At 45.4% G+C, this 13,091-nt stretch overlaps 1 protein-coding gene across 2 annotated transcripts in view; it reads left to right on the forward strand.

The window, feature by feature from the left end:
- The window catches only part of SLC35F3 (solute carrier family 35 member F3), a 419,836-nt gene that overhangs the window by 322,791 nt on the left and 83,954 nt on the right, over positions 1–13,091 (forward strand). For both annotated transcript variants that reach the window (NM_173508.4, NM_001300845.2), the window contains one exon: positions 3,951–4,275. In NM_173508.4, coding sequence (NP_775779.1) covers positions 3,951–4,275 — 325 coding nt within the window. The remainder of the gene's footprint in view (positions 1–3,950; positions 4,276–13,091) is intronic.

The raw sequence follows: 13,091 nt of genomic DNA on the forward strand, positions 1-13,091 counted from the left end.
CGGCTTACTACAAGCTCCGCCTCCCAGGTTCACGCCATTCTCCTGCCTCAGGCTCCTGAGTAGCTGGGACTACAGGTGCCCACCACCACGCCCGGCTAATTTTTCGTATTTTTAGGAGAGACGGGGTTTCACCATGTTAGCCAGGATGGTCTCGATCTCCTGACCTCGTGATCCGCCCACCTCGGCCTCCCAAAGTGCTGGGATTACAGGCGTGAGCCACCGTGCCCGGCCGGCACTGCCTCTTTCAACTGTGATAAAAGAGTGAAATCAAACAAAGGCAACACTTGACCTGAAATTTTGGAGGTGGGGGGCAGAATTAAACAAAAGTTTCCTACACTTAGAAGATTTGAAAGGCTTCTGAAAAGAGATATAGCTTCCTCATTGTAACTCCTTCTGTCTGAAACCTGTTTGAGCATCAATTGGCCAGTTCATTGAAAATGACCCTAGAAATGATGTCAAGTGTGGGGTGCATTTGTTGCATTTCCAATAGTAGAAAATAAATGCATCTGCTAAGCAAAATTATTGTGTCACTCTACATTTATTCTTCAACTAATTATATTACTTTGTTATGGATGTTGTGGCTTGCACTTCCTTAATAAAGTAGGATCAGTCCACATCTGAGTTTGCTCCAGTCCCTTCAGCAAACCTGGCAGTTTCTCCTGTGGCATGTCTAACCAAAGCAAGATGAGGCATTGCAGAGTGACGAGATGGCAGTGCATTTCAGATCTCACCACCATCCTCACTGCCCCTCCAGGTCATGTGTATTCCTGACCCTGAACTTTGCTCCTATTTTACTTACTTTTATGTTCTATCCTCCAAGACCCAGGCCAACCACCTGCCTCTTCTGATTCTTTTCACTATTATCCCAATGCACACTGGCCACGCTCTCTGCAGAATTCCTGTTATATAGTCAGAATCTCTATTTTACACGTAATTGTTCTGTAATTCCTTCATGGATCTTTCGTCACTCTGACATAGACTGTCCATTCCTGAAAGATGGTAATCATGCTTTACACTTATTTATAGACCACCCAAAGCTCTTGGCACAGGGCACATGTTTCACAGTGATTTCCTGTCTGATTGAAAGGCTCTGAGGATGCATTGCACCATACATAGCCCTGTGAGATGTAAAAAGTGCATGCCGTTCATTATAAGTTAGGTTAAATAAATGAAAGATAAAAACACAGTGTGATCCCAATTTTTCAGTGTGTGTGTGTGGGTTTGTGTGTCCATTTGTACTAGGGGCACGGTTCTGCTGAGAGGGGTGTGTGTATGTGTGTGTGTCTGTGTGTTGCACAGACACAAAAGACTAGGGAAAATGCGGCAGCCAATGTGAATTGTGATATCCCTGGGTGCTAACATCACTAAAAATTGCTTTTTCTTTTTACTATTTAGCACTTTTGTGATGTATGTATAAAGAATACTTTTTATTTATATGAGGTGTGACGTGTTTAGCAGTATGAAGAATGAGGTAATGAAATTGATGAGTGATTATTATTATTATAAGAGACACAGTATAGTGAAGTGGGAGGTTTGCAATGAATGGGGTTTGGTTGTCTATTATTCTTTATGGGTATATTCCAGTGTTTCCCAAAGTATGTTCCAGAGCACAGTAGTCCCTACCACAGGCGTTACACATTTAAATAATATGGGAAGCAGCCTCTTGAAAATTCACAATATCCATTGACCCTGAATATTCCTACAGCAAAGGAACCTGTCTGTTCTACTTGGTGTTTTTCAAATCTATCCAAGCATGGAATATGTTTTCCTTATAACGCCTGTTAACTGCATTACATTTTGGAAAACGTTCTATTTATATGTGGTTATTTTCAAATAACAGTGTAGTGAGTTTGGTTCTAAGTGTCTTAATTTTTTTTGTAATTGTTCATATTCCTTTGTTTTGAGGATCCAGAGAGGTTACAAAGTTAGAGAACAACTTCTTTAATCCAAATCCATAGAAACATTTTAGCAATACCAAATTACATGATTTGATGATTTTCTCCTTCATTGTAAAAGCTATGCAGCATCACTGCCTAGTTTGCTAAGTTTTAAAGCTTAATTTGCTATAATGAAAACATTCAATGAAGAAACATGCTGTGAGCTGAATTTATTCAGCCTCTTTTGGAGTCCATTCTTTCACTGGAAGTTATTACTGTGAAGCTGCATTTTATTTTTGTGAACTTTTTTTTCATCTCTACAATCATCTTTTCAGGATGAGTTTTTGACAGTGATGCTAATAGTGACAAACCCCTCTAACCTCCAACACTCCTTGCAAATTATCCCGATAATGAACAGCTGCAGATGTTAATTCAAAATGGCAGGTAATCCGTGTGTAAATTGAAATGTGCATGCTTCTGTCTGAAACTGCAATTGCATTAAGTTGTGGAAATTCACGGTGAGGAAAGTCAAGAGATCCTGGTAGGAGGGCATAAGCGCGCAGATCCCCCAAAAGGCTGGAAATCAATCTTCCTTTTTGTCCTCCACATCTTTCTGCCCTGCAGCCCATGCAGGAACAGACGGCTTGTCAGAAGCTCAGAGGGTGGCGAGACATTTGGTTTTCCAGGGGCTTTTCAACTTGGATATGTGAGCACATGAAAAGTTAGAGAAGGAGGGAGGTTATTAATAAAGCAAGTAATGAAGCACAATAGAGATGGTGTGAAACAGTTTGGCCCAATAAAGTACATTATCTCTCTTTGACTAACCATGTAATGCTTCGGTTTATCTTTGGCTAAAACAGATACAGCACAGCTGGTGGTTAACGATATTAGCTAACACCTGAAAAATAGATTACATTGAATCACAATTTTGCCTCATAGACTCATAATGCTTCAGAAAGTATGATATACAAAACTCAGTTTGTTATTAAAGTTATTTAAGTTTAAGCAATGTAGAGAAAGCACGTTTGACCCCAATATATTCAGGACTCATCTCCTCCCCTAGAGTGAAAATGGCCTCTTAGCACTAATGTGCCTCCATTCAGCTAGGTGCCAGGCACAACATCATTATAAAAGGCAAGTACACTGCCTTCTGGAAATTTGCATCCATCCGTAGTTACACCCGACACAAGCTACAGCTTTGTTTAAATTTCCAGCTGACTGACACGCACACAATCATGAATGAAAAAGCAAACAGTGGAAAATAACGCCTTTTCACCTTCCTCTGGTCTGCGGGAACAACACTGCCGCAGAGCCAAGCTTTGGGCTGCAGCCTGGTTTCCAGAAATCACACCGCTCTAGAATGGAGTGTCTGTGGCCTTTCACACACCAGCTGCCAGAGGTTGTGGTTTTTAAGTAAAGCTTCGAAGTGGGACTGGAGGCTATCAGCAGGAAGCCAGTTAAAGCAGATAGAAAAGTAAGAGTGGCGAAGTCTATTTTTGCTGTACGTACAAAATAAGAGGAGAGAGTCTTGGCCAACTGTGCCTTTAAGTAACAGGCCACTTCTGTCAAGGTACTGGGACCTTTTAGAGGTCAGGACCTCCCCCTGTAGGAATCTCCAGCCCCCAGTACTGCCCCGCACCCAGGAGCACGTGAGTACTCGTCAACTGACATAAATGAGAGTGGAGATATTTCAGCTGCTCTGTGTGTTCTGGAGGAGTGTTTCCCAAAGCACGCAGATCACCTGAGGAATGCAGGTTCTGATTTTGGAGTCTGGGGTGAGCCCTGAGATTCTGCATTTCCAACACGTTCCGGGGACGGACGGGGAAGGGTGCTGACGCTGCCCGGCCCAGGGACCACACTTGGAGAGCCTCGGACCTGGAGGACAGGAAAACCAGTGCAAACGTTTTCTATTGCAGCTTGCTGTCACACAGCCGCCCTGGAAGCCGCCCCTGCACCCGCTATCTCCCCGGGCCCCCAGGTAGCTGGTGGTGACAATGGCTGCAGGGCAGCGCCCTGCGAAGTGCAGGGGTGAAGGTCTGCAGGCCCCGCTAACCACGCCCTTCTCTTCCCCAGGGGAGGAGCGCCCCCGGGACTCCCCGGGCCCGGCGGAGGCCCAGGCACCGGCCGGGGTGGAGGCCGGCGGGAGAGCGAGTCGCCGCTGCTGGACGTGCTCCCGGGCGCAACTCAAGAAGATCTTCTGGGGCGTGGCGGTCGTGCTGTGCGTGTGCTCCTCGTGGGCGGGCTCCACGCAGCTCGCCAAGCTGACCTTCAGGAAGTTCGACGCGCCCTTCACCCTCACGTGGTTTGCCACCAACTGGAACTTTTTATTCTTCCCGTTGTACTACGTGGGGCACGTCTGCAAGTCCACAGAGAAGCAGTCTGTGAAGCAGCGATACAGGTAGGCGCGTCCTGCATGAGGAGGCCTCCTGACCCCGGGCTGCTCCATCCAGCGCTGACTCTGCAGAGCTGCCCCTGGTGGCAGGCGCTGGGATGAGCCGGTGGGAGCCCGTGGAGAGATGTTGCAGTGAATGCACCTGCTCTCAGTGGGGTCGGGAGCAGAATTCTGTCTACCCTGGGTAGTGAACGCCTCCTTCCTCTACCTCCTGCCCCTCAGCCCTGGGAGCCCCTTTATATAAAAGCAGGCAGCAGCGTCTTCCAGAGACGGCAAGTAGTAGGTCCCCAGAACGCTTAGAAATGGGAGAACTGTGTAGCTCAGTTCATCCCTCAGCAAGCTTGGGGTGAGGACCGCAAGGCCATGGAGCCAGGTCACTCGGACGCTTCCTGTAGCTGACTTCCCTCGCGGAGATGTTCGCTGCAGAGACTTCCTTACTCATCCTCTTTCTAATCCCAAGACATGCCCCCCTTCGCGTATGTAATTGCATGGGTCTGAATATCTCCCAGTGTGATGGTCAAAACCAAAGCAGTGTCTGGACTTTGTTGACTATATTTTCTCAAATGGAGTCCATTGGAATGACGTCCCTTTCAAAAAGAGGCCAGAAACCCTGACCTCAACCCCTACCTCAGTATGCAGGAGGGCTCATGCAGCCCTCCCCGGGAGTCACACTGTAGGTGTTGACCCGTGGCGCTCATCTGTGCCAATTAAGAGCATCTCGTGTTTCCCCAAAGTGGAGGCCTTCTGTGGGCCATGTCATGGGCGTCCCAAATCAGGCCTAGTCAAAAAAAAAAAAAAAAAAAAAGAAAAAGAAAAAAAGAAACAGAAATGAATGCTGGCCAAGGTGACACAGTAGGCCCTGGAAACTTTTATCAGCCCCAGAGGTGAGGAGAAATTGAGCATTTAAGAGTCTTCATTCCTTCACCACTGCCTTCTTCCCCACCACACCCCACCCCACCCTGACAAACACATAACCCCATAAGATTGCTATGTCCTGAAGTTCCCCTTAGAAGATACAAGGTAACTAAAAACATCATTGGGTCCAAGGAACAAAGAGGTTTGGAAATGGAGGTCTACCCCTGGACCAGAATTTCTTTCCGGGAATCTACCATGTTGTTCCTGTAAACTTGTAGCTGGAAGTACGGGTGTGATACTTTTTTAATGTTCAGAGGGAATTCTGGCTCCTTTAAAATACCAACTTGTAAATCAGAGCACGAATTCTGGAGGAGGGGGCTCTGATGGAGCTTGAATAGAATCACATGGCCAGTCTCACATGTCCCCTTAGTGAAACGGATTTGGTGCAAAGAATTCTGATCCTCAGGGTTGACCTAAACCAGTGGCTCATGGACCAGCCAGAAATTGCTAAAGAGGCACTTAATGCACCCTCTTCTGAATAGAAGCCAAAAGCAGAAGGAAACAAATCATTAGCACCCAAGATTGTCCCAAAGGCAAGAGTAAAATAGTCCCAGAGAAAAGCTAATATTTAGTAAATGATGTATTTAACAGTTAAGTATCCCTAAGTGTATTTAATTTGTAATTAGGCGGTAACCCTTCATTAAAACTGATTAGGATGGTATGCTACTGCCTCTAACGAAATGCTCAAAGTGAGCTTATATGCACGTTCTTGATCAAGAATTATTGGGAGAGAAGATGAAATTCTTCTTTCCTGCTACCTTCAACCATACAGGCTGAAAGAGGACCCCCAAGTGGTAACACTGGCTGTTGTCCCAAATGTGCTCCATGGCTACCACTTACCTGGGAAGACTGTCACCACCAGCCACTTAGGGCGGGCCTGGCACCATTAAACTATTGTGCTGAAAACCGCACAGATGGAATCAAGATCAAGTGGTGCTTATACGGTCAATGTAGGAAAAAATGGAAGGTCATTGAAGATTAGTTATACATAGAAAAGCATCAGCACCTTGATTTCAACCTATTGTCTTCCTATAAAAAGTGCTCAAAAAGAATCATTTAAAAAATCTGATGACTGCCCTGTTAACTGGCGAACAATGTAAAAGAGGGAGGATAATCCCAACTTTATTGGTAAACTGGTTAAAAGCTTTCCCAATTTCTGTCATCACATTCTGCTCCAGCTCTTTAAAAAAGTTGTTTTGTTTTGTTTTGTTTTTTGTTTGTTTTTTTCTGATTATAAGCTGTGTTAGCCCCGTGGCTAGGCAGAGATGCTAATTTACCAGCCAATTATTAGGCATGTCAATCAAGCCATATACACCATTGGAGGGGTGAAGAGAGATCCTTCCTCAAAAGGAGAGAAAAATTTTAACATCACAGACCTTCCTTAGGACATCACAATTCTGTCACAACTCATATTGGGAGTACTTTAAACAGACTTTAGGATTCTCAGAGATCAAGGAAGACTGAAATCACATCTTTCATCTTCATGCTTTATCAAAATTAATGCCAGAGAGAAGATTTTGATTTGTCTGAGGAGATGAGTCTCTTGGCTAAAAGTGTTTAGCAGGGAGCTGGGAAGAAAAGGAGATGAACAGAGACCTGTTCCACCAAGAGGGGAGCTGGACAGATACAGCAGCTTTTCTTGCAGTTATCAGGAGGCAATCAGATGGAAGCTTCTTTTCTCTAAACCCTCCCCAACTGAGCCGCTTCCCCAGGGTGAAGCCGGAGCCGAGAGAGGAAGGCATGTGTTCCCCAGCACAGAGCTCCGCAACCTGCAACGCCCTGTGAGGCTCCCTGGGGTCTTGTTGAAGGCAGACTCTGATTCAGTGGGTCTGAGTGGATCTGAGATTCCGCTTTTCTAGGGAACTTCCAGGGAATCCTAGTGCTGCTGGCCCACAGGCTGCACTTTAACTGTAAATGCCCTGGAGTTGTTGAGTCCCAGCTACAGATTTTTTTTTTAAATGCTGCTGATTTTACCAAATGTTAGAACTAGGATTCACCTCACCATGTAGAACTGATGAGTGACTCCATTGAGCCCCAGAGGATGTTCGAGCCCTGGTCCTCTTCAAGCCCTGGTCCTCTGCCACTCATGACGGGAGGCTCCGTGGGCAAGTCCTCAAAGCTCTCAGAGCCTCAGATGCCCATTTGTAAATGGGAGGTGATGATATATGCACTGTCTTGTACAAAAGACTGCTGTGTGATCAAATGACACGCTGTATATGAAAGCGCCCTATACACTGTAACATGCTGTGTAAACGCGAGGAACAAGTACTGTGTTGTGATAGCCTCTGTGGGTTGTACTGAAGGCTGTTGCCCATGCTTTGTTCGTGAGCTGCCTTGTGGTGGCCAATTTAAACTACGAGAGTGCCAACCCCTATGCTGCATGCAAGTGTCAGTCCTGAAGAAATCAACTTGTGGCCCTAGTGCCTTCACAGGGCATACAAGAACACTGATCAGGGCTTCTCATGATCAGATACTGTTGTCAAGAATTAGATGTGAATGGGCAAACCTCTCAGCCTAACTCATCTGGGTTTTCAGCCCCTGCCTTAGTCTTCCTAGCAAGCACTCAACCATCCAGGAGTACAATGAGCTGCTTCCTTCTCCAATATGATAGGCAGCCCAACCCTTATCTTCACTGTTTCTCAATGAAGGTGGCCACAAGGATGTTCTGAGGAAGCAATAGTGCCCAGAACTCAGAGAGGGCTTCAGTCATGAGACGCTTGAGGGTGCTTGGGAACCACAGTTTCCTGGACCACCTAGCATCTAGGGGAGGCACAGGGAAGTGGCTGTATCAGGTCTGTGTTTGGGAGAGACTGTTGAGCACATGTGTGATGACACACAGCCTCCTGGCCCCTCTGACCTTGGAACAGGAATGCAGCTTTTCAGATCTGAGAGGTCAGCAGAGCTGGAGCAGATCTGGGGCATTTTCAGTCTTGTCCAAAGGTCTTCCAGGAATTTGCAGCAGTAATGACCTGCTTTCGAAAGCAAATGCTGAGACCTTCTGCTATCATGCAGCTGCCAAAAAAAGTGAACGGTGCAGTGGTGACAGATGTTTTTCTCTGCCTTTTGTAGTTCCAGGCTTTCTGTAAGCCAGCCAATTGATTCTGCTTCAGATATTCTGAGCAACAGTAGAGCCAAGAAAGGGAAAAGGGCAGTTTAGATGCCTTTCATCTTAAACCCTGCAAGGGCCCGGTGTGTGTACCTTGCCACCCAGACTTACGCAGGAACCATATCGGGTCTTGCAGCTGTAACATTTATCGGCCATTTAAAATCTAAAGAGCAGAGTGGAGCAGTTGCAAACCGGAGCTTTGTTCTGAAAATAGTTACTGTGCGTCTTCTCTAGGCAATGCACTAGAAATACAAGATAAATGGACTCTGGAAAGGGAGTCAGATAGCCAAACAGGGTGGGGGTGCATGCAAGGGAGCTGAGAGTGGGGGAAGGCCCAGATACATGTCCAGATACATGTGTCCTGGGGCAGGGTACAAAAGTTTCTTAGAAGAAGTTAGCTAGGGCCTGGCATGGTGGCTCTTGTCTGTAATCCCAGCACTTTGGTGGGCTGAGGAGGGCAGATTGATTGAGCCCAGAAGTTCAAGACCAGCCTTGGCAACATGGCAAAACCCTGTCTCTACTAAAAATACTAAAAATTAGCCAGGCGTGATGGTGCACCTGTAGTCCCAGCTACTCAGGGGACTAGGCAGGAGGATCACCTGAGCCTTGGGAGGTTAAGGCTGTAATAAGCAGTGATCAGACCACTGCACTCCAGCCTGGGTAACAGCGTGAGACCCTGTCTCAAAACAAAAAAAAAGAAGTTAGCCAGAAACAATTTATTTAAGGACAAGCAGATGGTTCTCTAGGTGCCGAAGGAGAAGGTCAAGAACATTCTAAGCAGACAGTAGCCTGGATAAAGGACACAGCCTGGACAAAGAGCACGGAGCTCTTCTTAGGATGTAGGATGTAATTGGGGTAAGGTGAAAGAGAAGACCCAGCAGTTAGGCAGAGCAGATGCTGGCAAGCCTCCTACACTATGCTGAGGAGTTTCACTTCCAGTGTGAATATCAGGAGTCATGGAAGCAATGATCAGATTGGATCTTTCAAAATGCAGCTGCTGCGACTCTGTAGAAAATGGAATGAAGGACAAGGCTGGAGGTCAATCCAGGTCAACATATACTTCTTTGATATCTATGTGGGCACGTGGACAGATGTGGATGACAATTGTTGTTCTTGACCCTAAGGAACTCACAACTGAGTGGGAGACAGTCTCCTATTAAAAAAAAAATTATATATATATATATATATATATATATATATATATATATGGAGGAAATGGGGCGAGAGCTGAGGGCAGACTGGCTTGGCTGTAGTTTGGCTGTGAAGACAGGGCACAGTAGATCTTGGGACTCCAAATTCAGCTGAAGGCCAGATGGGAAGGACTTGGGGTGCCCGATCAAGGAGTTGGGGCTTTATTCTCCAGGCAAGTGGAGCCTCCAGAAGTTTTTAGTATAATCAGAGCTGCTTTCAAAAGTAGGATTCATGGTACTAATTATGTAACTGGCTACAGCATACGGTCCCATTTCACATAAGAGGTGGAATGACTGTCAGGTGTTTGTTTGTTGGGGGACAGGATGCCTAGTTCCTGAGCAGTAGCAAGAACTTTGAGTGTGAATCCTGAAGTATTATAAAACTTGTTGAACTGTCAACTTTTTGAGACTACATCACACTCTTCTGTTGATAAAAAGCACTTTAATTGTCATTTTCACCAAACTCAAGTGTTCTGAAAACATGGGAAATATCTTCTTTTCAGGAAATATTTGTACAACTTTTCAGGCACAGTGGTAAATGCTAAGGCATTGCCAAGGGAGCCCTAATTAGCGATGCCCAGCATCTCCCTGCCTTCCTGCTGTCAGGCCTCACATTTCAGAAAGCTGATGCATTTCTTACCCTGAACCCCAGACACATTCCAGCCTGTTGTTCCTATCAACAGTTGTTCTTTATAGAGTAAGGCCCCTTTGGAAACAAGGTGACAGGGCCCCTCATCCTAGGAGAGAGATAGTGCTTCATTCGTTCCACAAAATCTTTCCAGCACCTTCTCTGTCTCAGGTGCTGTTCTAGGAACTGAGGATACAGCAGTGACAAGAGCAAGTGGAAATGCCCTTTACCTTCACCCTTCCTCCTACCTCATAGCAGTCTCATTTCCTGTCTGATTTCTTCGTTATTGTTATTGTATTAAATAATTTTTGTAGAGATGAGGTTTCGCCATGTTGCCCAGGCTAGTCTCATACTCCTGCTCTCAAGCGATCTGCCCACCTTGGCCCCCCAAAGTGCTGGGATTAAAGGCATGAGCCACTGCACCCAGCCTTTCCTGTCTGATTTCTAAGAATTATCCACCCAGAAAGTGATGAGCTACATTCATAACTCTTACAGTTGATGTTTTTGTTGTTTGTTTGTGTGTTTATTTTTGTAACTGGTTTAGAAAAAATTGACAAAATATTGGAAGACTGCAGTTTGTAATTTGGCCCATGGCTTGAGTGTGGTGGTGAATAATGGCAATTATGCATACACATCCTCATGTATAGCCAGGAGATTTTGCTAGCCTAAGGCAAAATACCATGCCCCATACACACACACATAGCCAGCTGAATAGCAGATGTCTGGTACAGCCACAGGAAATCATGTAATCAATGCTCCAAGTCTAAATGAGAAGTCATAATGGGCACCGGTGTCAGCAAAGGAAGAAATGAGATGGGGGAGGCTGAATAGGTTTGGGTTGTCTCTGCCTGTTTTAAGACAACACTTGCCATATTCAAGAATACATCAGTGGTGAAATGAAACAGAACATCGTCCACATGCCCCAGATTGTGACATCACCGTCTGAGTTTACACCAGGTCCCACCACTCCATATAGTCTTCCCTTTCATCCTATCATTGTGGTATTCATAGATTAGCTCATTTATTTTTCCTCTGGCATCTCCCCCCACCCCACCACCACATCTCAGTTAACATATGCTGGCTTCATCCCAGTGAAATTCAATGACAGCCAAACACCCCTACAGACAAGTTCAGAATATTCTTTCTACAAGTGATTTTTAGGCTTTCACTGAGGCAAGCAGAACATTTTCATTACCTCTTGATCTCCTTTTTTTCTATACTTCAGCCATCCCACATCCCAATTATCTGAGATTGCTATTCATCTTTGAACAGAAATCAAGGATATGGCTTTGAAGTTTAGCAGTTTAAGAAGGTTATCTGTCTTATAACCTTATAATTCCAGAGCTTGTCTTATTCAGCTATAGCAATGTTATTTCAATTTCACTGAAATTCTTTGAAAGGTCAGTGCCAACGCTCATGTTTGTGTTTAAGGTGCGGGTTTGAAGAATAACAGCCATTTAAATAACTGCCATATGAGTGTAATTATGACTTTTATGCGGTCATGATACCTGAGGCTGGAATTATCAACAAGGGATTTGGTAACATTTTTAGCTTAAGTGCCATGGTCCCTGTGAATATTTGCAAGATAGATGTGACAGTGAAATCAAAGGTGGGAAGCAATGAAGGATGGTCTCCCAGAGGAGCATCCTTCAACTGGTGGATTTTGAGGATCAGTTAATCTTTGTGCGGGTCAGATGAGAAGGAGGGCCCATGTAGGCGGCATACAAAAGTCACAAGTGTGTACGGATTTGCAGGATGTAACCAGTATGCTCAGGCACCACCCCATCCTATCCCAATGTAAGAAATGTGGAGCCATTTCTTACTTTCCATGTGGTTTTTCATCGAGTCAAGACTAGTAAGCCAGCCGATAGGCACATTGAAACTTAAAAATCTCACCACATTTAGCAAAGGATCATCTGCACAGAGACCTGGAAAGATCAAAAAAGGACTTTGAGGATTCTCTGATCCAACTTATTCATATTATCAATGAGTCCAGAGATGCTCAGAGAAAGGGCAAGAGAGCCCTGTGCTCTGCAGCCTCAGACCTCTCCAGAAATACTACTAGGAAAGAAGTGGGTCAGCGCTATCTGTCCTTATAGGAAGGAACCTGGAGGCGGTGCCTGGGCAGGTTGGAGCAACAGAGGTAGGAGTGCTACTAGCCCATGCTGGGACATTGTGATAGATGATAAGAACATATGCTTGCCATTAGATAGTTTGGGCAGGAAACTCATCTCTTCCTTTATTTGGCAACATGGTCATAGGTAAGTCAACTGAAAGCTCTTAGTCTCAGCTCTTACTTGAAAAAAATGGAGACTTTAATTCCCACTTCCAAAGGTCACTGTGGGATTGAGTGTCCCTCCTGTGGGCTCCCACAGCTTCTGTGTAGATCGTGTTTGAAATGAACAAAATTAAACACGATGGTGTGTAAAAAGTTCTAAACTGTTCTTGGTCCAGGGATTTCCTAACCATCTTTGATTGACTCCTAACGTGGATACCAAAACTCATTCAAACCATGCCTACTGCTCTCTCTAAATCATAAAGTGATGATGATGATGTCATAAAATGATGCTGATAATGATAATGATTATGAGGTCATAAAATGATGAGGGGGAGGGCTGGGCATGGTGGCTCATGCCTGTAATCCCAGCATTTTGGGAGGCTGAGTCGGGCGGATCACTTGAGCCCAGGAGTTCGAGACCAGCCTGGCCAACATGACGAAACCCCGTCTCTACTGAAAACACAAAAATTAGCTGGACGTGGTGGCATATGCCTGTAGTCCCAGCATTTTGGGAGGCTGAGTCGGGTGGATCACTTGAGTCCAGGAGTTCAAGACCAGCCTGGCCAACATGACAAAACCCCATCTCTACAGAAAATACAAAAATTAGCTGGACATGGTGGCACGTCCCTGTAGTCCCAGCTACTTGGGAGGCTGAGATAGGAGAATCACTTGAATCCAGGAGGCAGAGGTTGCAGTGAGCCAAGA

Source organism: Homo sapiens, chromosome 1, assembly GCF_000001405.40.
Source record: "Homo sapiens chromosome 1, GRCh38.p14 Primary Assembly".
NCBI classification, from domain to species: domain Eukaryota; kingdom Metazoa; phylum Chordata; class Mammalia; order Primates; family Hominidae; genus Homo; species Homo sapiens.